The 23601-nt window shown below is 48.1% G+C and overlaps 1 protein-coding gene across 4 annotated transcripts in view, besides 5 other annotated features; it reads left to right on the forward strand.

The window, feature by feature from the left end:
- INPP5D (inositol polyphosphate-5-phosphatase D) overlaps positions 1-23601 on the forward strand; it is a 147562-nt gene that overhangs the window by 16461 nt on the left and 107500 nt on the right. For all 4 annotated transcript variants that reach the window (NM_001017915.3, XM_047444219.1, NM_005541.5 and 1 more), the window contains exon 2: positions 2533-2596. In NM_001017915.3, coding sequence (NP_001017915.1) covers positions 2533-2596 — 64 coding nt within the window. The remainder of the gene's footprint in view (positions 1-2532; positions 2597-23601) is intronic.
- Positions 4902-4991: an enhancer, noted in NCBI's record as "active region_17331". NCBI's record gives its function as "activates an Ori minimal core promoter by ATAC-STARR-seq in GM12878 lymphoblastoid cells {active_cell/tissue: GM12878}" and the evidence as "EXISTENCE:reporter gene assay evidence [ECO:0000049][PMID:35858748]".
- Positions 5502-5651: an enhancer, noted in NCBI's record as "active region_17332". NCBI's record gives its function as "activates an Ori minimal core promoter by ATAC-STARR-seq in GM12878 lymphoblastoid cells {active_cell/tissue: GM12878}" and the evidence as "EXISTENCE:reporter gene assay evidence [ECO:0000049][PMID:35858748]".
- Positions 7737-8031: a silencer, noted in NCBI's record as "tiled region #10619; K562 Repressive non-DNase unmatched - State 23:Low". NCBI's record gives its function as "represses a minimal TATA promoter and a strong SV40 promoter by Sharpr-MPRA in K562 cells {active_cell/tissue: K562}" and the evidence as "EXISTENCE:reporter gene assay evidence [ECO:0000049][PMID:27701403]".
- Positions 8022-8071: an enhancer, noted in NCBI's record as "active region_17333". NCBI's record gives its function as "activates an Ori minimal core promoter by ATAC-STARR-seq in GM12878 lymphoblastoid cells {active_cell/tissue: GM12878}" and the evidence as "EXISTENCE:reporter gene assay evidence [ECO:0000049][PMID:35858748]".
- Positions 11989-12488: an enhancer, noted in NCBI's record as "H3K4me1 hESC enhancer chr2:233953501-233954000 (GRCh37/hg19 assembly coordinates)". NCBI's record gives its function as "activates a minimal SCP1, AML or CMV promoter by ChIP-STARR-seq in primed H9 embryonic stem cells {active_cell/tissue: H9 hESC(primed)}" and the evidence as "EXISTENCE:reporter gene assay evidence [ECO:0000049][PMID:30033119]".

Below are 23601 nucleotides of genomic sequence, written 5' to 3' on the forward strand. Positions count from 1 at the left end.
TAAAGCAAGTTATCATTCTCACCTCTCAGATTTGCAAAGATTAAAAGGTCTGATAACAGCCAGTTGGCAGGGTGTGGGGAAATAGACACATTCATATCCGGTTAGTAGGAGAAAAAAAAGGCCACAACTTCATTGGAAGACAGTTGGTACAGTTGGTAGTCTCTATCAAAATAGCAAATCTCCAGGTCATTTAGCCAGCTGTCACCTTCTAGTGATTTACCTACAATCACTAATAAACGTCAACACGTGTACAGCACATGGTGAAACATGATGAAAATAGTAATAAACCATCTCTCACTTGGCTTGAGAAGACCTCTATGATCTTTTTTGGTGAAAAAAACAAATTTCAGAAAACGGTATACATAGTATGATATTATTGGCATCTAAAAAGATATGCATATATAATCTTGTGGGTATGTTTAAAATTTCTGAACTTACTTACAAACAGGAATAGGAAATCTAAGAAGAGGGGCTCATGGGAGTGGGGAAGGAGATGTTTATTTTTTATTTTATATCTTTCTGTATGGATTTCATTTTTTAAAGTTAGTATATATTTTAAAAAATCTAGTTAAACAGGGTCAAGTGCAGTGGCTCATGCCTGTAATCCCAGCACTTTGGGAGGCCGAGGTGGGTGGATCACCTGAGGTCAGGAGTCGAGACCAGCCTGACCAATATGGAGAAACCCCATCTCTACTAAAAATACAAAATTAGCTGGGTGTGGTGGCACATGCCTGTAATCCCAGCTACTTGAGAGGCTGAGGCAGGATAATTGCTTGAACCTGGGAGGCAGAGTTTGCGGTGAGCCAAGATTGCGTGCCATTGCACTCCAGCCTGGGCAACAAGAGCAAAACTCTGTCTCAAAAAAAAAAAAAAAAAAAAAAAAACTCTCTCTACTAAAAATACAAAAATTAGCCAAGTGTGATGGCAGGAGCTTGTAATCCCAGTTACTTGAGAGGCTGAGGCAGGAGAATTGCTTGAACCTGGGAGGCAGAGGTTGCAGTGAGCCGAGATCGTGCCACTGCACTCCAGCCTGAGTGACAGAGTGAGACTCCGTCTCAAAAAAAAAAAAAAAAAATCTAGTTAAACAAAACATACCAATAACATATGTAAATGCTCAGTGGAGTGCCTGTACCTGAGGGGGTGAGTGTGTGGAGCTTCTACACTGAGGCACTGGCTTCATTACAGAGGCTGGTCCTGTCTACAGGGCTCTACGGGCCAGGTGAGCCTTCCGGGCTCAGGAGAATCTTAAGTAGCAAAATGGGGCAAGATTATGGTGGGTGAGAACAGACCAGCAGCTTTAAGTAAGAGCCTAAGATCCAAATAGCTTTCCCTCGATCTCCTGACAGCCTTCTGGCCTCAGCAGCCGATGGATTCCATGGGTGTTAGCTGCTGCCAGGGTTTCAGCAGGCTGAGGGCCACCGCAGTGTGCCCCTCTCCCAAGGTGCTAGCACTTGACAGCCCCCTTTTCCTCTCACAGGTTTTAGGAAAGTGAAAAGTACCTTCTCCTCCTCACATTAGAGATGACTGTGCCAAAGGAAGGTAGAGCTTCTAGAAAGAGAAGAGAATCTGGGATTCCTAGGACCTTCTTGTTAGAAACAACCCCAAGACTTGCTCTCCAGCTGCTGGGGCAAATCCAGGTCTCGGCAAGGCTGGTGGCCAACCCCTGGGAGATAATCCACGGGGCATAGTGTCCAAGAGGATGAAGCCATTTGGGGGTGGCAGGGAGCTCAGCGGGAACGAGGTGCTGAGTGATCCCTGCCCCTGACAGGTGGCCCCTCTGTGGCTGGGCCTGGCTTTCCATTCACCATGGGCCGCTCTGCTTGGGCCCACTGGAGTCGTGTTTCTTCTTCAAACACCCCCTCTTTTTTGTTGTTTTTTTGTTTTGTTTTGTTTTGTTTTGAGACGGAGTCTCACTCTGTCGCCAGGCTGGAGTGAAGTGGCACATTCTCGGCTCACTGCAACCTCCGCCTCCTGGGTTCAAGTGATTCTTTTGCCTCAGCCTCCCAAGTAGCTGGGACTACAGGTGTGCGCCACCACGCCCAGCTAATTTTTGTATTTTTAGTAGAGATGGGATTTCACCATGTTGGCCAGGATGGTCTCAATCTCTTGACCTTGTGATCCACCCATCTCAGCCTCCCAAAGTGCTGGGATTACAGGCGTGAGCCACCGTGCCTGGCCTGCAAGCACCCACTCTTGCTCTATCTTCTTGGCAGCCGAGAGGTTAAGAAAGCCCCTCCATGTGGCAGACTCCTTTAGATCAGATCCTTTAGCTGCCGGGTCCCCACCTAAATGACCCCCCCCAACCTTTTCCTGGTGCTCCCTGAGTGCAGAAGCAGTGGGGGAATAAGAGTGCCTCAGCCCACGATTGCTGGACGTCAGGACTCACCTCCATCTTAAGAGAACGGTCAGCTCCGAAATTCGGAGACTTTGTGTCCAGATTCCTCAAGCTGTGTCAGGAAGTCTTGTCTTTTCAGTTAAGAGGAAACCGGGTCTTCCTGCATGGGTTCTAATAAAGTCTTTGATCTATTTCAGGTATCGGAATTGCGTTTACACTTACAGAATTCTGCCCAATGAAGATGATAAATTCACTGTTCAGGTGAGTCCTTTATAAACCTAGAAATCTGAACCTGACTTCAGCCGATACTGGCAGAGAAAGGGTGTAAACGATGAGGAAGGAAGTGCACGCGCAGGTAGCCGGACGTGAAGGCCTGGCTGAGCCTGGCTTCCTCCCAGGTGTCCATGGGGTGGCTTAGCTGGTAAACTGGGGCCCTCCAAGTGACCCTGCTCTGTGACATGACGGAGTTGCATGCCACAGGCTATTTGTGGTCCATAGGTGTGAAGAGGAAACGAAGGTGAAGCAGACTGTCCAGAGATGAAGGGAAAGGAGGGGCTGTGGCTTGGCCGACTGTTGTCTTCAGTCTCTCAAAGGAGAGAGAGGAAGTGGCTCAGGAGGGAGAGAAGGGAGGTGAACTTACAGGAGAACAGACCGTGTTTTCTGAGGGGCTGCGAGACTAGCACAAAACAGTGCCTTTCCATTTGTAGAACTCTGTTCTGTCCGAGGCTGGTGCTCACTGCATCTGATTTCACCAAGCAAAGTCAAAATGTGCAAAACTTGCAGTTCATTTTTTAATATTTTTTATTTTTGAGACAGAGTTTCACTCTTGTCACCCAGGCTGGAGTGCAGTGGCGCCATGTCGGCTCCCTGCAACCTCCACCTCCCAGGTTCAAGTGATTCCCCTGCCTCAGTCTCCCTAGTAGCTGGGATTATAGGTGCCCGCCACCATGCCCGGCTGATTTTTGTATTTTTGGTACAGATGGGGTTTCTCCATGTTGGCCAGGCTGGTCTTAAACTCCTGACAGCGAATGATCTGCCCACCTCGGCCTCCCAAAGTTCTGGGATTATAGGCATGAGCCACCCCGCCAGGCTGCAGTTAAATTTAAAAACAAAAATCAGCTGCACCCGTCCAAGCCCGGGAAGGCCACCCTAAGCACGGTTTACTAAAGCCTTTGTTTCGCCACAAAATGTGACAACTGAGTGTGTGGAAGCCAGGAAAGCTATTGTTATCTGGCTACATGAAGAGCACATGGAGGTGGCAAGAAGGAAGGAGACAAAGTTTCCACATCCCGGGTGTGTGTGTGTGTGTGTGTGTGTGCACGTGACAGAGAGAGAGAGAGAGAGATGCTCAGTTCTCAGGGACTAGAGTAAGAGGCACAGCAGTGCATCCACGTCCCAAGCAGAGTAGCCGGGGTCGACAAAGGTTTGGATATCATGTCATGGAAGAGCAATGACGGCGTTGGAGGAGTTTGTTTGAAAAGAAAGTGGAAGTGGGAGGGGAGAGGCAGGGTACACTCTTCAGTTTCAAAGCTTGAAGGGAATGATTCATTTTGTGCTAACTAGGATGCAGTAGTAGACAGGGAGCTGGACTCAAGGTGTGGGGAGACCACAGGCAAGTCCCTGGAGGCAAAAATCCTCCAGAAGTTGTCAAGAGGGAGAGCGTGGTGAGCAGAACGCCCCTCAGGAAGACAGCTTATGAGGATGGAAGGAATTGCTTCGAGGAGCGATGTGATTGAGAGAGGCCCAAGGGGCATGTGTGATGCAGCCCGGTCCAGGGGCATTTGCTGCGAGGCCTCCTTAGGAGATGCGAGTTTAGGCTCAAGCAGAACCACTCCCTGCGTAGTTAGGCTGGCATTGCTGCCGGCTGCCTCATCCTCCTGCCCCTGAGTCCACTGCAGCCTCTAAGGCACATCTGCTGAAGGCTTTCCACTGGCCTAGGGCGCCCGCAGGTTTGGCCTGGTTCTTAGCAGTCACCAGGAGCAGATGTTGGCACACCTAGTACGAGAAGGTCCTTTCCAGCGCTTGGCAGCTATTTGCCATGGGAATGTCTGTCTCTGACAGGGGCTCTTCACCATGTGTGGGATGTGAGCAGCGGAGGGGAGCCCTGTCTGGGGCAGGCAGTTGGCCTCAATGACCTCTACCATTTTTTTCAAGTCTAGGAGGGCATGAGCTTTTCTGGCAGAGTTGGCATCTGTGATAGGTGGTTTGCTGAGAGGAGTCGGCAAACTCTCTTAAGTTAAAAGTTGGTCGATGCTTTTGATCTTTTTTCCCTTTGTGGTTTCTTCTCTTCCTTCAAAGTGAAGAAAACTTTAAGTATGACTGGAAAAGACATGACTCTGTGGCTTCTAGTAGAGTCGGCACCCGCCGCCTGTAAATGTGTAGACTGCGTCTCCGGTTTGCCCCTCTCTGTCACCATCATACTCTTGCTACTGTGACATCTTGTGACCCTGGGAACTGCTGATGAAATCCGGGGCCTCATCAGGCTACTGGGCAGGGGGTGGTGGTGGTGCAGGGAACAGAAACTCGCCTTGGCTGACTCTGTAAGGGGTAAGGGGTGGGCAGCCTTTGTGGAGATGTGCAGAGCCAGGAAGGAGAAGGCCGCCCTAGGGCCTTGGAACCAGAAGAGCATGGGGTCTGCACGCAGCTTCTCCCATGGATCAGCTCTTCTCTGTGGGGCCGCTCTTCCCAGCCAGCAGCCTCCCTTCTCAGTCCCCAGTCCTAAGAAGGAGTCTGATGGCTCAGCCTCCACGGCTTTCTCCGCATGAGCCACTCAGGGGCTGCCAGTCTGTGTATGAATCGGCTGTCTTGGAGCAGGTACCCCCCTCTGCCTCTCAGAGATGGGGACAGAGTCGTGGGGGCAGCGTGCCTCCTTAAGGTCTCCGCTTAGCCAGGACAGTGGGCGGGCAGCTTTCAGAGAAGATGGGCGGCTCTGCTGGACTTCTCTGCTCCTGACCCCGGCACTAGATCTGTGACCTCCGCAGTAGCTGACATGGTACAGGGAGCTGTGGACCTAGGTGGTCTGAAGAGGTTTTCCTTCAAGGTGAATTAAAGGGGAATTCTCATAGGATTCTCCCAGGTGGACTCACCTTCGAAAATCTACCTCCAAGAGTAAATGACAGCAGACGTCCACTGAGGACCAAGTGCACACTCATGCCCAATTAAGCAGACTCAGAGCCCTTCGGGGAAGCTTTAGCAGTTATTGATCTCTGCCTATTTTAACTCAAGTTCCTCTTTTCATGTTGAGGCAAAACCTCACAGTCTTTTCTGAGCTTAGCCACAGTTTCTAAATAACTCATTCCTGACACCTGAGCCTGTTCAGTGCCACCAGAATACGAGGCTCCCCAAAATAAGAATCTGGCCTGAAATTTTGCCAAGTGAAGCACCGAAAGGCTTTCATTGTTTCTTAGTTTAGTAACTTTAGCTCTTTTCCTGGGGACTTCTGTTCTCTTGTCAACACCAAAGATCTCATCTTTGTTCTTTGCAGACCAACTTCATGGAGTTGGCCCACGTGTCATAGCCCATGACAGCCCTGTATCAATCAGGGAGAGGAGCTGCCTCACCTGGGGGACTCTTTTCTCTCACTCCATCTTTCACAGACTTAAAAAAAATCCGAGATGGGAGGGCAGGATGCAAACTGTAACTTCATCCAACCCCCTCGTTCTAAATATGAGTGTTGCTGAGAACTGCGGAAGTTGGAACTCACAGCCAGGCCTCCCGGCCTCCCCGGCTAAGCTTTCTTCCTTCCAATCCAGAAGGTGTTTCCAAGCCTGTCTGGAGTCCCCTGGGGAAGGATGAGCCCAGGACTCTGCCCAGAGGGACAGGGAGACAGGGCAATGTGGCCTCTCAGAGAGCTTGGCCTCTTGCCCTTCACATGGTTATAGATAATATTTGATCCCAGGTGGCATCTGTCCCTTGTGGTAAATCAGTGAGGTGCCCCTAGAATGAAAGCAGACTCCATTCCCGGCTGGGATCTGGGTTCAAGTCCAATTTGGTCAGCGATGTGGCCTTGGGCAAGGACTGCCAAGAAACTGCTGGAAAGTAGAGATCACACACATACCTCCCAGCACAAGGAAGCTGCTGGGGAGGAGGGTGGAGACAGCAGGGAGCTGGAGGTGCTTTAGAGCATTCTAGGCAGTGCTGGGAGTGGTGGGGAAGGAGGGGTAAATTTTGGAACTCCATCTCCCTCAGCTCTGCTCTTTGGGCTATGGGCTTCATGTCTTCAGGGACCTGAGTACGCTCTGGAACTGTTAAGCAGTTGTTCAACAGCTGCTGTGCCACTCAAACCCTGAGAACCTTCTGGACTCAGCTTGCACTGCTTTTCCTGGTTGGGGGAGGGTTGGGGCAGTGCTCTGAGCCCTGTGTGAGGCCAGACGAAGGCAGAACGGCTCAGCCCCGCAGGCCTGACTGTCCCACACCAAGAGAGTGGGTTTCTTGTAAAGCCAAAACTCCTTTCTTGACTTGGAAAGGGAAGTGACTCTCCCCTAAGAGAAGCGGTGCCTATCTTGAGCTGCTCGCTGCAGACTGAGCTGGGAGGCTGCTGCTGCCTTTGAAATGGCCCCTCTTTGGGAAAGTAAGGAAGAGTCTGAGGTCCTGCAAGCCGCCCTCATGGGCCAGCTCCAGGGTGGCCAGGGAGGCCTGGAGTGGCCTCAGACGTGTCGCATAAATGGCTGTCTCAAACCTAGGGCCACAGTTGAAGCAAAAGAGGCCCTTCGGCTCCACCCTACAACCTTTTGGCCCTTGCGTCCTTTCTAACATCCTTCCCACCGAGAGGAATAAAGCAGAAAATTAGAACTACCCATAATCCCCTATCACATCAATGTTCTCTGTGAACTTCCTGTCTTTTCTTGAGGTTGAGATTGTATCTAGGATATTGATTGTTTCAGTCAAGATGGGAGCACCCCCAGGTGTTTTTCTGTTTTGTTTTGTTTTGTTTTTGAGACAGGGTCTTGTTCTGTAGACCAGGCTGGAGTGCAGTGGCGCGACCTCGGCTCACTGCAACCTCTGCTCCCAGGCTCAAGCAATTCTCCCACCTCAGTCTCCTGAGTAGCTGAGATTACAGGTGTGCACCACTATGCCCAGCTAAATTTTGTATTTTTCTGTAGAGATAGGGTTTCACTATGTTGCCCAGGCTGGTCTCAAACGCCTGGGCTCAAGTGATCCACCCGCCTCAGCCTCCCAAAGTGTTGGGATTACAGGCGTGAGCCACCATGCCCAGCCACACTCCCAGGTTTTCATGCAAGTTTAGATGAAGAGTTAGAAAATATCTATCTCATAGACCCTTTCATTATTCTTTCCCGATTTGGAAGAAAAAATCCAGTGGTCTGAGCCATTCCGGTGAGTTCTAAAGAAGAGACACTTGTGACTCAAGTCCCTGGTCCCTGACGGTGGCTGTCACGTATCTCCGGGCGACATGGCTTTTGGAGAGGGAAAACAAAACAACTTTCTAAAAGCTGTTCCGTCACAAGCATCCGGGAGGTGAACGGTTGAGCCATTGTTATTAAGCTCAGGAAGCGAGTGGCAGCTGTTATTGTTCTGAGTGGTCACTGAGTGAAGTAAAGATTCCGTCTGAGCCGCCGGGCAAAGGATGTGGCTCTAACACACTTCCTGAAGTTGCACAACAAGGGGCACAGAAAAGGTTCAGGGCATAGAAGCCTAGCACGGCCAGGGCTGCCCTGTGTGGGCTCCACAGCCATGCCAAGGACAATGGGCCCCAAGGGGGTCCGTGCTGGTGGAGGGGTTCCTTTATGCTCTGACACTCACCTTCTAGAAGCCTGCATTTTGAATTGGTTTTTCTGTCTACTGCAGAATATGGACAGATCTATTTTCCAAGCCTCTGAATATCTCAAAACATCTTTAGTTGTCTACACATTCAAGAGTAATTTGATAGATATAAAATTCTTGGAACCAACTGTTCGCTCAAAATCCTGTAAAAGGTACAGCACTACCTTCAAGAATGTAGTGTTACAGGCTGGGTGCAGTGGCTCACTCCTGTAATCCCAGCACTTTGGGAGGCTGAGGCAGGTGGATCACCTGAGGTCAGGAGTTTGGGACTAGCCTGGGCAACATGGTGAAACCCCGTCTCTACTAAAAATGCAAAACTTAGTCGGGTGTGGTGGTGCATGCCCGTAGTCACAGCTACTCCGGAGGCTGAGGTGGGAGGATCGCTTGAACCTGAGAGGCAGAGGCTGCAGCGAGCTGAGGTCTCACCACTGCACTCCAGCTGGGTGACAGAGCAAGACTGTCTCAAAGAAAAAAAAAAAAAAGAATGTAGCGTTATGAATAGTTCCGAGTACAAAATCCAAGGCCAAACTTGTGCTGGTTCCTATAGAGGCGACCCATTTTTTTCTTTTTTTCTACTTTGAAGCCGGTGGGAATTCTTTTCCAGTGTTGTCATTTTCCTTTCATTGATAGTACCTGCAATGTGTTCGGCTTGTTCACTTTGCAAACTCTGTTCTTTGACACAAAAGACCTTTCTTCTGTTAGGTCTTTGAGTAAGTTTTTATTCCAGCTCTTCTGGCATCTTTCTTCTAATCCCCTGAGAAAGCCAAGCCTCCCCCCGTTTTCTAGCCCCCTGGGGTACACATGCCTTTGTGACTGAGCAGCCCCTCCCTCTTGTGTGGCTGCAAGATCCCTAATCCCTTCCCCAGTCTGTCAGAGAATTCTGGAAAGAGTATCCATGCCATTTGTCATCTCTACCTCCAAATGACTGTCTTTATTTTCTCCCCATCCCCACTAGCCATTTTGTCCTTGTTTCTCCATGTTCCAGAGCCTTCTGGTTCACCTTGCCCCAGATCATGGGCCTGTTTCCTGTCTTTGTTACCCAAAGCGGTCTAGAACTAACATCAACATGCACCATGTAGCCGATAAGTTTAGACTGGGGAATGGGATGCAAGTGTAACCAATGAGATGTGAAGAGAAGGGCTTTGTGGGCTTCTAGTAAAGGTCTGTTTGTCTTAAAAACAGACATAGGGATAAGATAGCCTCTTTCTTTCTTTCTTTCTTTCTTTCTTTCTTTCTTTCTTTCTTTCTTTCTTTCTTTCTTTCTTTCTTTCCTTTTTGAGACAGAGTTTCGCTCTTGTTGCCCAGGGTGGAGGGCAATGGCATGATCTCGGCTCACCACAACCTCCGCCTCCTGGGTTCAAGTGATTCTCCTGCCTCAGCCTCCCAAGTAGCTGGGATTACAGGCACCTGCCACCATGCCGGGCTAATTTTTGTATTTTTAGAAGAGATGGGACTTCACTATGTTGGTCAGGCTGGTCTCGAACTCCTGACCTCAGGTAATCTGCTCGCCTTGGCCTCCCAAAGTGCTGGGATTACAGGTGTGAGCCACCGCACCCAGCCAAGATAGCCTCTTTCCTACCTTTGGAAGCTGCCATAGGATGTGATAGCTGGGTCTCTGCTGCTGCCTTGTAACCATGAGGAGAGGTAGCTGGCGAGTGAGGCCAACACACGGAAAGGAGAAGTGAACCTGGGTCCTGGATGATGCCCTTGAATTTGCTGAACAGAATGAAGCAACCTGGGATCTGCCCTCCTCTAGATTTTCTGTTTTGTGAGTTAATTAATTTCTTTTTGCTCAAGTTAGTTGAGTTAGGGTTTTCTAACAGCTAAAAGTGTCCTAACTTACAAAGGTTTAAACTATCCCAGGGGAATTTCAAAGCAGAAAAGTGAAAATTTCAAATTGAATATCGAGTTTCACTGCACCAAATGCCCATGAGCCACGGTCTGACAACACAGTCTCTGGGTCTTCCTTCTCCTTAGCCTGTGTCGTGTTTCTGGGACCTGCTCCAGCCCTGTCCCAGACATTCCTAATGACTTATGTTCCTGTCAGACATCCTTGGGCTCAACATCTCTTTCTCTAACCCTGACCAGAAAAAGCACAAAAATCAATCAGTATTTTAACAATGTCTGTGCACTGGGGAGGCATGATTTCTTGCTTATTGCAGGATGGTTTCGCTTCTCATCTTGACTTTGCCCTTCGAGATCAGCTTCCGGGTCTAATTGTGTCTGTCAGATTTGCAAGAGGCCACTTCGGGTTTGCCAAATAGAAGAAAGTCTTTCTGAGAGGCCTCACTTGATCACCCCAGAAAAATAGTCACCCCACCCTTCACCTGTTGCTCTTTAACCCCTTACCCTCCTTTCTTTTCTTTGTGGCACTTGTGACTACCTGATTTTATATTATATTTATTTATTTATTTATTTTTTTGAGACGGAGTCTCACTCTGTCACCAGGCTGGAGTGCAGTGGCACAATCTCGGCTCAGCTCACTGCAACCCCTGCCTCCCGGGTTGAAGTGATTCTCCTGCCTCAGCCTCCCGAGTAGCTGGGACTACAGGCACATGCCACCACACCCAGCTAATTTTTGTGTTTTTAGTAGAGACAGGGTTTCACCATGTTGCCCAGGATGGTCTCGACCTCTTGACCTTGTGATCTGCCCGCCTCAGCCTCCCAAAGTGCTGGGATTACAGGTGTGAGCCACCATGCCCAGCCCTGAGGTATTTGAAAATATACATTTTTATATTGACTTATTTATCATCTATACTAGAACTATTCCTAGCATGTAGTGAGTGCTTGATAAATACTTATTGAATGAATTAACTCTTCTGCCACCATTAAGAAGATAGAAAGTGCTACAGGTTTCACTTAAAATTATGATTTATCTCACCCTTGCTGTAGTCATCAATCTTAAATTTGTCCTCCACAGGATCCGCCGTTATCTATTGACTTGCTTTTCATGCCTTGGTCAACTTCCTCTGCATTCGAGACGGGTTCTCTTTTCTGGACTCAGTTCTGCTGTAGCTCCCTCCAAAGTGGATCCTCATTTCAGCATTGAATTGAGCTCCTCATTTTTTTTTTCTTGAGACAGTGTCTCGCTCTAGCCCCCATGCTGGAGTGCAATGGCAAGATCTCGGCTCACTGCAAACTCTGCCTCCTGGATTCAAGCGATTCTCCTGCCTCAGCCTTCCAAGTAGCTGGGATTACAGCCATGCACCACCACCCCCGACTAATTTTTTGTATTTTTAGTAGAGACGGAGTTTCATCATGTTGGCCAGGCTGGTCTCAAACTTCTGACCTTGTGATCTGCCCGCCTCAGCCTCCCAAAGTGCTGGGATTACAGGCATGAGCCACCAGCCCCGCCAAGGTTCTCATTTTGTTGCAAGCCTGCCTTGCCTGGCTGATCTTCATGTTTCACTGGCCCTGTTGTCTGTTCATCTTTCTCCTCTTCCTGGGATTTTCACTCCTGGGTCATAAAGGCCTTGCCTTTTGACGTCCACGTGAGGCTGCCGATGCTTCCCGAGATGTCCCGAGACAAGTTCCAGCAGCCACATTTCCAGAGAAGGCTCTTCCTCGGGTCTTCAGGGTGGTGTAATGTCCTAGTTCCCTCGGGGAAGCAGTTTCTTCTCTCAAGCTTCTGTTTCCTCCTCAGAAACAGTGGGAGGCCAGCAGTACTTCTCTCCTGTGGAGATTTTGAGGACTAAAAGAGATGGTTTATGTAAACATGCAGCTCATGTCTGACACGTGACTCCATGGATGACTGTTTTAAAATGGCGAGGACGCACAGAGGCCAGTCAGCTCGCTGACACCAACATGGGGTCACCGGGCAGAGGCCCCGGCCCATGACTGGCCAAGAGCTGGGGACACCAGGCACAGGGGAAGGAGAAAGGGCTGAGACTTTGGGACACAAAAAACTCAGGTGTCCTGGGATTGACAGCAAGGCCATCCAAAGGGGCCTTGGAGAGGAGGACAAGTGCCTGGAAATCCTGACTGCCCGATCGGGGCCCAGGCGCGAGGGTCATGGAGGACAGAGGCACCAAGTAGGGACCCTAGACCCTGTCTGCCTTGGGATCCTCTGAGAACTGAGAACTGTAACAGCATTACAGCCGTATGTCCCGACTATATTCCTTAAGGGTCAGGGGTTGTCCTGTGCCTGCTCACTGGGCATACGTCACTGCTGCTTTGGATAACTGAGGAAGACAGAGGCGGGGTGAGGGCGAGGGTGGATGCCTGGGGTCCCAACCAGGTGACAAGAGAGAGCCTTGAGGACACGGGAGGGACCAGCGGGAGGCCCCACAACTCCCACCTGGGGCCTATCTTGTCATCCCTTTCTGGCCTGGTTGCCTTTTGTTGAGCCCCTGTCAGGAGCTAGGCACTTCATCCGTGTTCTTTAATCCTGGGGAAGGGTTTACTACTATTGTTGCTATGATCACTATTCCCATTTTTAAATTCAAGGAAACAAAGGCTCAGATGAGATAACACTGTTTGCCTGTTTCATAAAACTTGTGACAGAAGAGGGATGTCATTGGAGCCATGCTGTGGCTCTGTGCCCTGCAGCCTGGGGCGCTGGGCTGGAGGGTGAGCTTCACACAAAGGCTACTGGCCTTTGTTTCTCCAACCACTGGAGGTTCCCCAGCTATGTATGGAACCAGCTAAGGGCTTTGCAGTATTTGAGTCATGATCCTTCCTGAATGAGACCCAAGATGACTCTACTTTTAAGCCAAGTCCAGTGAGCGTTATAGCCGTATGTCCTGACTATATTCCTTGAGGGTCAGAATGACAGCTTAGAGATTCCCGGCAGCTCATTCATTTATTCAGTGAATATTAATTGGGAACTGAACAACAGCCACCCTCAAAGTCCCTCCTTCATAGGATGTTCGGTCTAGAGACCAATGACAAGCAATTTTCAAGATTAGACTCTGAACCCCAGATTTTTACATCTTGAGGGAGAAGCGTCTCAGGAAACTTCTACAGTGCAAGGAGCTCCCCTCAAGTGGGAGGAAATGAATGGCCCAGCCATGCCTTCCAAAGAACCCTCTGAGAGGCGCCCAGTCCCTCTTCTGTGCTTCCAAACAATCCCCCCGCCCAGCGTCCACATCCTCGCATTGTGGGGTGGTAGGCGACCCGGTGTCTGTCTCCCCCAGTGAGCTGTGGAGGCCTTGAGAACAAGGGTCTCAGTCGCCCGAGTGTCTGCCCTTGGGCACAGGACAGAGGATGCGTCGCCATCCCCTGAATGAAAGGCCCAGCTGGACCTGGCTTGAGAAGAGGCTTCTATTGACCACTCAGTGCCCACAAAACCTTTGAGGTTAACTTTAGTCTGCCCTGTTCTTAGCAGACTGTATTTCATTTTGAGCAACCCCAGGAGAGGAAAATCCAAATTTCTCTCTCAAATATTGAATTAATCCATACATGAGCAGTTAGTGATTTTTATAAAGAGATTCGCCATGGAAGAGTACTTCTTTCATTTCTGCTCTTCCTGGCTTGTCTGAGTCAAGAGACCCTGCCAGGCTGGTGGCCATCAGGATGCCCAACCCATCTCCCCCCCATATTTATGCCCTTCATGACTGGCAGGAAAAAGGATCTGAAATCTTGAAATGGAGAAATGTGTTTTCCAAAATCCAAACATCTCACAAATATATGCTATGAAGACCCTAAAAAGAGTTCTCAGCGCCCTCACACAGACACAAGGACAGAACATGAGAACATAGTCCCAGCCTTTAAAGAGAGAAAACGGACATTCCAACAAGCAGATTCAAAGTCACTTGGGGTCGGGCACGGTGGCTCATGCCTGTAATCCCAGCACTTTGGGAGGCCAAGGCAGGTGGATCACCTGAGGTCAGGAGTTCGAGACCAGCCTGGCCAACATGGCAAAACCCCATCTCTACTAAAAATACAAAAATAGCCGGGTGTGATGGTGCACACCTGTAATCCCAGCTACCCAGGAGGCTGAGGGAAGAAGAATTGCTGTAACCTGGGAGGCAGAGGCTGTAGTGAGCTGAGATCGCGCCACAACACTCTGGCCTGGGTGACAAGAGCAAAATTCCGTCTCAAAGAAAAAAAAAAAAAAAAGAAGTAACTTGGAAGTCTACAAGAAAGATACCACTGGCTGCTTGGGAAACCAGACAATAGAACTGCTTTCTCCCCTGACGAAGGTGCTGGGGAGATACTTACTCTTATGACACTAAACTCCTTCCTGCCCCAGGGTCTTGGCACCTGCCCTGCCTTGTGCTTGGGACTCCGTCCCTCAGGTCACTATGTGGCTGACTGGCCAACAGGATTCCTCCAAGGCCTTTTCCCAGGTCTTCCCATCTAATATCATGCCCTGTCCCATAGCCGCTCCTTATAGCACTCCTGTTTTTTCTTCATAGCCCTTATCGCTGTCTGCAAGGGGATTTGTCTCCATTGCCACTATAACAAATTTCAGCAAACAGAGGGGTTTAAAACAACACAATTTATTATCTTGCAGTTGTGCAGGCCAGAAGTCCAGAAGCTCTCACTGGGCTCAGGTCAAGGTGTTGGCAGAGCTGAGCTCCTTCCAGAGGCTTCAGGGGAAAATCCCTGTTCTTGCCTTTTCTGGTTTCTAGGGGTCACCTGCATTCCTTGGCTCATGGCCCATTCCTCTGTCTTCAGAACCAGTAATGGCCCATCAAGTCTTTCTCATAATGCCGTTTCTAGGGCTCTGACTCTCTGCCTCCCTCTTCCCCTTATGAGGACTCTTGAACGTAGATTGGGAACAGCTGAATAATTCAGGATCCTCTCCCAACCTCGAGGCCAGCACATGAGCAACCTTATCTCCCTCAGGCCATGGTACATAACAGCCACAGGTTCCAGGGATAAGGAGGGCTTGGGAGGCGGAGGCCGTTATTTTTTCTACCGCAGCAACTATCTTGATTCTGTATTGACTCACTCATTTATTATCTGTCTCCACCACGAGGATGTAAGACTCACGAGAGCCAAGACCTTGTCCATCTTGCTCTCCACTGTCTCTGTAGCACCAGAAGGATGCCTGGCACAGAGTAGGTGCTCAGTAAACATTTGCTGCATGATTGAATGAAGGAGTAAATTTGCAATACAAACAAAGTGGGAAAGGCCAAGGAGGGAAGGAGAGTGGAGACCCCCAAAGCTTTCCTGTTCCGAAATTATCTGATTCATTCTACAAGATTAGCAAAGCCTCCCAAGATGTAGGCGTTCAGGGCCAATGTTTCATAATCAGCTCTGCGAGGTTGGCGCTGGGTCTGGGATGAGGCAGGCGGGCGGCCGGAGTGACTGGGGGCCCGAGCTGCCAGGCTTATCAGGGAGCCGTCCCAGGCTCTGCCCCCTCAGGCAGCTTCTCTCCAGGCTGCTCCCAGGGCTGGGGACTCTGGGCTGGTCTGCCAGCTGTCACTTCTGTCTTCCCCAGAGTACCTCAAGAGTTTTACGAAAAGAAAAGAAGCAAGCTGGAAAGAAGAGCGTCTCAGGGATATGTAATTAAGGATAAAAATATCCCTCATAGGCTCTGGGCAATGGGGAAAATGGAGATTGCTTGCCTTCCTGGGCCCAGTGGAACCATGAGGGCTTTTGAAACATAATGATTAGGGCAGGTTTTTAGCATTGATGAGCCTGTGCAATGATGAATGCCATCTATACGGGTGTGAGGTACCAAAAGATGTGTGGTTAAATTCTCGAAGGGGAGGAGTTTAAATGGAGCTGCATGTAAATACAGGACCTTTGCTTGGGGTGAGAAGGAAAGGGGAAATGGAAATAGCAAGGGGATGAGCTTCCTTAATTGCATGTGGCAGAAGGAAACGGCAATTTCAAAGGCAAACATTGAACGTGGGAGGTGGAGGAGGCCTTGGATGCTCCCAACAGCATCCCTTTATCCCTCAATCTCCCGTCCCTTCTTCCATCTTGAGACAGGCCAAGGAGCCCCAGGCCCATCACTGTCAGTGGCTCCCACGTAGCCAGGGGTGCTCCCACCCCAGCCCCCAGCACCCCTACAGCCATCTTCATTCCTCAGCCCCACCTGACACGTTGCCCCTGACAGGGCTTAGTAGATTTCCGCTGGATGAAAAAGGCATGGGTGAAAGAATCTTGACTCTAAGATAAAAATGGTTACCCAGGAAGAAACAGAAAGAGAAATTAAAGAATGTGTCTTGAGAGAAATGGAACAATAAGCAGACTTCAACCTGAGGGCTTTGTGAAGTCAGGGTCTCCTTCACGTGGTCTGATGGGCCACTGCATTCCTCTCTTGTCTAATCTTTCTTTTCTTTTTTTGGACAGAGAAGGATTACGGCAGATTAATATTGATAATTTCTGCTTTTTCTCTTAGGGCAGTAGTGAGGGTGAGGAAGTTCAAATTGAAAATACAAAACAGAAGTAAAATCCCCTGACATGGAAATAAGCCTTCCTTCTTGGGAAACTATCAGTGTAGATATGTTTCTCTAAAATGTAACTTTAGAGTCTGGAATATATTTGACATCTTAAAAATGGTCTTCAAGACTTTATGGTAAGGCCAGGTGCAGTGGCTCATGCCTGTAATTTCAGCACTTTGGGAGGCTGAGGCAGGCAGATCATTTGAGGTCAGGAGTTCAAGACCAGCCTGGCCAACATGGTGAAACTCTGTCTCTGTCTAATTCAAAAATTAGCCAGGCATGGTGGCGAGTTGCCTATAATCCCAGCTACTCAGGAGGCTAAGGCATGAGAATCGCTTGAACTTGGGAGGCTGAGGTTGCAGTGAGCTGAGATCACGTCACTGCACACTCCAGTCTGGGCGACAGAGTGAGACACTGTCTCCAAAAAAAAAAAAAAAAGACTTTATGTTAAGCTCATCAAGTGTTCAATGAGGCATTTGTTAGAGATGGTAGAGATGGACAGTCTTCAATTTTGGGGTGAAAAGATTTGCAAAAATTTGTCAATAATAATGTGATGACGTCCAGAGCTGGTCCCACCACTGGCTCTCTCCTGCCACCTGCCCAGTGGTGGCTTCAGGCCACACTCCCTTGGCAGAAGAACACGCTATGCATGCCTCCTGAGCACCCTTCTTCTGCCTCCTGGCCCGTTTTCCCTGTGCTTCTCCCTGGAGTCTGAGAAACAGATGTTGCCGTGGTCCCCTGCCTGGTAGAGCCCAAGAGATTCTCTACAGCTGTGCTGGCCAGTGCTGCAGCCACAGGCCACATGGGGTCACAGAGCACTTAGAATACACCCCCTCCCCCCCCAAAAAAGAGAATGTCCTATATCTCATGATAATTTTATTGCACATTGAAATCTTAATATTTTGGATATATTGGGTTAAATAAAATACATTCATCAAATTGATTTTATCCCGATGTTTAAAAACTCCCAGGCTGGGTATGGTGGCTCATGCTTGTAATCCCAGCACTTTGGGAGGCCAAGGCAGGCAGATCACTTGAGGTCAGGAGTTCGAGACCAGACTGACCAACATGGTGAAACCCCGTCTCTACTAAAATTACAAAAATTAGCCGGGCTTAGTGGTGCATGCCTGTAGTCCCAGCTACTCCGGAGGGTGAGGCAGGAGAAATGCTTGATCCCGGCAGGTAGAGGTTGCAGTGAGCTGAGATTGCCCCACTGCACTCCAGCTTGGGCAATAGAGCAAGACTCCATCCCAAAAAAAAAAAAAAAAAAAAAAAAAAAAAATTCTAAAATCTGGCTGCTGGAAAATTTAAAATTGTATATAAGGCTCACATTACATTTTCACTGGGCATCATTGCTCTAGAACCTTGCTGCTCAGAGTCTGGTCCACAGGCCAGCAGATCAGCATCACCTGGAAGCTTGTTAGAAATGTGGACAATCAGGTCCCAGACCCGGGAATTCAGAATCAGCGTTTGAACAAGATCCCCAGGTGATCCTGATGCACATTAGGGTTTGAAGACCATGTGTGGGTTGGGGGAATGGCAGTCAGTCTCACTCACCACGGGAGGGAGTGCAAATGCCGACAAATGCTCTGGAGGGCAAATTGCCAATGTCTATCAACATCCGTAATGTCTGGGTGCAGTGAGGAATGTTCTCCCACCCCTAATTTGTCCAACAAGTCACATGGACAAAGATATATATACGAGGACACCCACTGCAGCATTATTTCAAATAGGGGTCAAAGAAGAATCCTAACAAACAACCTCATGTTGCCTAGGTTAGCATTCAACCTAACCATGATGAAGAGGGAACTGCTTAAATACACTGTGGTCCAGCCAATGGAAGACTATGCAGCTGCTTAAAAAATTAAAGTAGAGCTGTGTGTAATGAGTTGGAAAGATTTCAAACATTAATAAAAAAGTTGCAGGGTGATATTGTTGTAGGATAGTTTTTGGTTTTTGTTTAAGGGATAGATTATATACACAAGATTGCACATACATAAGAGTGTTGAGATAGAACTTGTATTTTAGAGATAGGATCTCACTGTGTTGCCCAGGCTGTTCTTAAACTTCTGGGCTTGGCCAGGCGCAGTGGCCCACGCCTGTAATCCCAGCACTTTGGGAGACCGAGGCGGGTGGATCACCTGAGCTCAGGAGTTCGAGACCAGCCTGGCCAACGTGGTAAAACCCCATCTCTACTAAAAATACAAAAATTAGCTGGAGGGGGTGGTGGTGGGCACCTGTAATCCCAGCTACTTGGGAGGCTGAGGCAGGAGAATCGCCTGAACCTGGGAGGCAGAGGTCGCAGTGAACCGAGCCACTGGACTCCAGCCTAGGCAACAAGATTGAAACTGTCTCAAAAAAAAAAAAAAAAAAAAAAAAAAAACAACTCCTGGGCTCAAGCAATCCTCCCACCTTGGCTTCCCAAAATGGAGATAGAACTTTTAAAATAATTTTTTTTTTACATTTAAAAGTTATATCTCAGCTTGGTCAAAAAAAAATTAAAACAGTACCAAAGGAAATACATAGGAAATAGAGATCCCCTTCTCCTATTGGTAACCCTAATGTCCTGCAAATCCCCCACCCTAGTCCCACTGTTGACAGTTTCTCAGATACTGTTTTCAAATGTTTTATATATTTATATTTGTTTTTGTAAATAGGATAATACCGTATACACTGTTCTGCGATTTGCTTTCTTCCCTTAGCAATCTGTCCGTGAGATGGATCCAAGTTCATTCATGCATCTTTTGTGCTTTTTAACAGTTGAACGATAATGGATGGATACATAGATGATTTTCTTTTTTGTTGTTCTCACTACAAAAGACAGATGCTACAATAAGCAAGGCTTGCTTGTGACTGTGCATACAAGCTTTCTCCAAGAAAAACTATTACTGGGTTGAAGGAATGCGTATATGATTGTAAAATACTGCCAAACTGCTTTGCCCGGGGCTCTTCCGAGTGACCTTCTCACCCAGTGTCTCTTGGTCCTCATGATGCTCACACATCTCAATTCTGGACATTACCAGTGCCTGTAATTTTCAGCAGACAATGAGTGAAATATGTGATCGCAATATTTTATTTTGCATTTCTCTCATTAGAAATGACACTAATGACCCAGGCGTGGTGGTTCATGCCTATAATCCCAGCACTTTGGAAGGCAGAGCTGGGCGGATCACCAGAGGTCAGAAGTTCGAGACCAGCCTGGCCAACATGGTGAAATGCCAACTCTACTAAAAATACAAAAATTAGCCAGGCGTGGTGGCGCATGCCTGTAACCCCAGCTACTCAGGAGGCTGAGGCAGGAGAATCACTTGAACCTGGGAGGCGGAGGTTGCAGCGAGCCGAGATCACACCACTGCACTCCAGCCTGGGTGACAGAGCGAGATCCCATCTCAAAAGAAATGACACTGAGCCTATTTTCATATATGCATTCACCATTTGTGTTTCTTTTCCTGTCAATTGCCTATTTATATTCTTTTTCCATTTTTTCCTTTTTAAAAATATTTCCGATTTTAAAAACCCTTTATATGTTTTGTATATTAATTTTGGGGGTAAGTTATATGAAAATATTTTCTCCAGCCTGCAATGTTTTTAAACATTGTTTATGGTGCGTTTTGTCATGTGGAAGTTTAAAACCATTAGGTAGTCAAATGTTTTCATTTACGGATTCTGAGTTTTGTGAATCACCCATCCCAATATTATTTATTTAGGGAAAATGCTATTTTCTTCTAACAATTTTTAATGTGTTTTTATGTTTAGCTCTTTATTTATTTTTATGTTTGGTATAAAATAGGGACTATAACTTCACCGTCCAAATGGATAGCCAACACCGTATTAAATAGCCCATCCTTTTCCCATTGATTCACAATGCCATTATATCATGTGCTAATTTCCCCCATAGTCCTAATCTGATTTGAAACGCCTCCTCCTGTTCCATTGATAGATTAATCTACTCTTGACCCAGCTGCATAGGTTTAATCGAGGTGGCTTTCTTGTGTGTTTCCTTATCTGGCAGACTAAGTTCCCATTTATTATTCTCATTAGTCCTTGCTTGCCATGCATTTTCTTTTCCAGGTGATTTTTAAAATCAGCTTGTCAAGTTCTCTGAAAAAATCCCAGTTAGAATTTTGTGCAATTACATGTAATTAATAGGTTAATTTATAAATAACTTATGTTCTTATAACATCAAGTCCTTCAATTTGAGATCATGGTTTCTCTCTCCATTTATTCAGCTTTTCTTTTATATCTTTTTTCTGCTTTCTCCATATAGTTCTTAAACCTGCTCTGTTACTGAGTGTGATGTAGCTTTAATTACCTTTGCAAACAGAATCTTCCTTTTCCATCATGACATTTTCTGGTTAGGTTTTGTGGGTATCTAGGAAAGTGATAGTTTCGGTAGGGTACTCTTAAATATCTGTCTGAATTCTCTTATTCATTTTAATAGTTTCTGAATTTATTCTTTTGGCTTCCCTAGGTAAATGATCTTGTTTTGTGCAAATAATGGCAGACAGTCTGTTCCTTCCAATGCAACTCATTTAGGGACAGGGGAGTTGTTCTGATCTGTTTTGTGCTGGCTGGGACCCGCCGTGCAATGCTGCAGATCAGTGGCATGGTGCTTTTGGTTGTCTCATTTCTTTTTTTTTTTTTGAGACAGAGTCTCACTCTGTCGCCTAGGCTGGAGTGCAGTGGCGCGATCTCGGTCACTGCAACCTGCACCTCCCAGGTTCGAGCAATTCTCCCACCTCAGCCTCCTGAGTAGCTGGGATGACAGGCATGCGCCACCATGCCTGGCTAAATTTTGTATTTTAAGTAGATTTAAAATACAGGGTTTCACCATGTTGGCCAGGCTGATTTCGAACTCGTGACCTTAAGTGATCCACCTGCCTCAGCCTCCCAAAGTGCTGGGATCACAGGGATGAGCCACTGCACCCGGCCTTGGTTGTCTCACTTCCGATTTCCAAGGATGTTTCTGCTCCAGGAGGAGGATGCAAGTCAAAGACAAGGAGTGCAACAGGAGTGCTGGGAGATGGGCACTCACCGAATGGTGCCCAAATGGGACCAGCACCGTGGATAGGAGCTGGAAAACTTAGCCAGTGGTGAGCCACAGGGTCTTCTGAGCCAGCTCAACCCACTGCGAGGCTCCTCTTTGGTGAGACGTGGTGCTGGAGGCGTGGTCAGGGCCAGACACCAGGAAACTCTCAGGCCACAACCTGTATATCTCTAGATAGTTCTGGTCTTCTTTAACGTGTTCCTTGAATAGAGCAGAAATCGGCCTCCTATAAAATCCACTCCTGGATCCCGGTTCTCCCCTCAGGAGATACATGGAAGCCTCAACTGTTTGAAAAACCAGGCAGGTCTCTCTTGAGGTTTCTTCAGGCCAAACCCTCTGGGTTACTTCAGCCATTCCGCACGCCCCTCTTAACCCCAGGCCATCCCAGATCCACCTCCCATGACACACTCAACCTGGTGCCTGTCCTTCCTAATGGGGGTCTCAGAACCCAAGGCCTGCAGAGTGGACTGACCCTCCCACCGGGCGCCCCTCCACGAGTGCAGTCTCACAGACAGTGGCACCAGGGGGCGCCCATTCAGCGATCCAGCTTCACAATGTATTTGCCATCGACTAAAATGCCATCGTCTTTTTCACATGTGCTCCTGCTAAGCTAGATTTGGAACTTTATTTTTATTTATTTATTTATTTATTTATTTATTTTTGAGACAGAGTCTCACTCTGTCGTCCAGGCTGGAGGGCAGTGGTGCGATCTTGGCTCACTGCAACGTCCGCCTCCTTGTTCAAGCAATTCTTCTGCCTCAGCCTCCGGAGTAGTTGGGATTATAAGTGTGCGTCACCATGTCTGGCTAATTTTTGTATTTATAGTAGAGGCGAGGTTTTGCTATGTTGGCCAGGCTGGTCTCGAACTCCTGACCTCAGGTGATTCACCCACCTTGGCCTCCCAAAGTGCTGGGATCACACGTGTGAGCCACCGTGCCCAGCCGAGACTTGGAACTTTAGATTGTTTTGTCCTAAACTTCCCATGGCTACACCAGCCCGTTACTCCAGACCATTGAGGTCAGCTTCATCCTGGCTCTAGCACCTGGCATGTGTGCCATCCTCCTAGCTGGATGGCAGCCCCACATTGGAAGGCCTGCCTCCTGGATCCTTATCTGAATTGCTGATGTGAATGAAAGGAGGAACCAACAGCACAGACGCCTATGTCTGGACTGACACTGGTGTGGCCTCAGCCAGGCCCATCTCTCTCCCTGTGCTCTTCAACAACAACAAAATCACAAATGAACCCCATAAAATGCTTTATGGAAACCTATAGATATCAGATTAAAGATCACAATCTGGTGGCCCCTATGTTGGATTTAGTGTTCTGTTCACCCAACCCATATTTTTAAAAATTATGAACCAGTTACAAGCATTTTTAAAAATTCAGAGATTTCTACATAATAATCTGGATTTTCAGCTTTCCTTGAAAAATCTGAAGATCTGATACCCTTGATTATTCCACAGTGATGTAGCTGGGGTGGGGCGTGTATTAGTCTGTTTTCACGCAGCTGATAAAGACATACCTAAGACTGGGCAACTTACAAAAGAAAGAGGTTTAATGGACTCACAGTTCCACGTGGCTGGGGAGGCCTTACAATCATGGCGGAAGGTGAAGGGCACATCTCATGTGGCAGACAAGAGAAGAATGAGCTTGTGCAGTCAAACTCCCATTTCTAAAGCCATCAGATCTCATGAGACCCATTCACTATCACGAGAACAGAGCCGCCATAATTCAATCACCTCCCACCGGGTTCCTCCCACGACACGTGGGAATTGTGGGAGTTACAATTCAAGATGAGATTTGGGTGGGGACACAGTCAAACCATATCAGAGTGGAAGCATTCCCTTTCAATGGGGCAGTTCTCTTTGATGTGTCACCATCCCCACCTCGCCCTGTCGCCTCACTCGCAGCCTGTTCCACTCATTTACATCACCCGCCTGACTGCTGTAGGCCACTGAGCTATGATATTCATCAGACGCAACTAATTACCCAACTTGTGAGGCCAGCAACCACACACTGGTAAACAGGTTTAGTTGACTTGGTGTGTTCCCAGTGACCTCCTGCTGGTTCCCAGGCCCAGCACCTGCTTTGCCTC

The sequence above is a fragment of the Homo sapiens genome, chromosome 2 (genome assembly GCF_000001405.40).
Source record: "Homo sapiens chromosome 2, GRCh38.p14 Primary Assembly".
Classification (NCBI taxonomy): domain Eukaryota; kingdom Metazoa; phylum Chordata; class Mammalia; order Primates; family Hominidae; genus Homo; species Homo sapiens.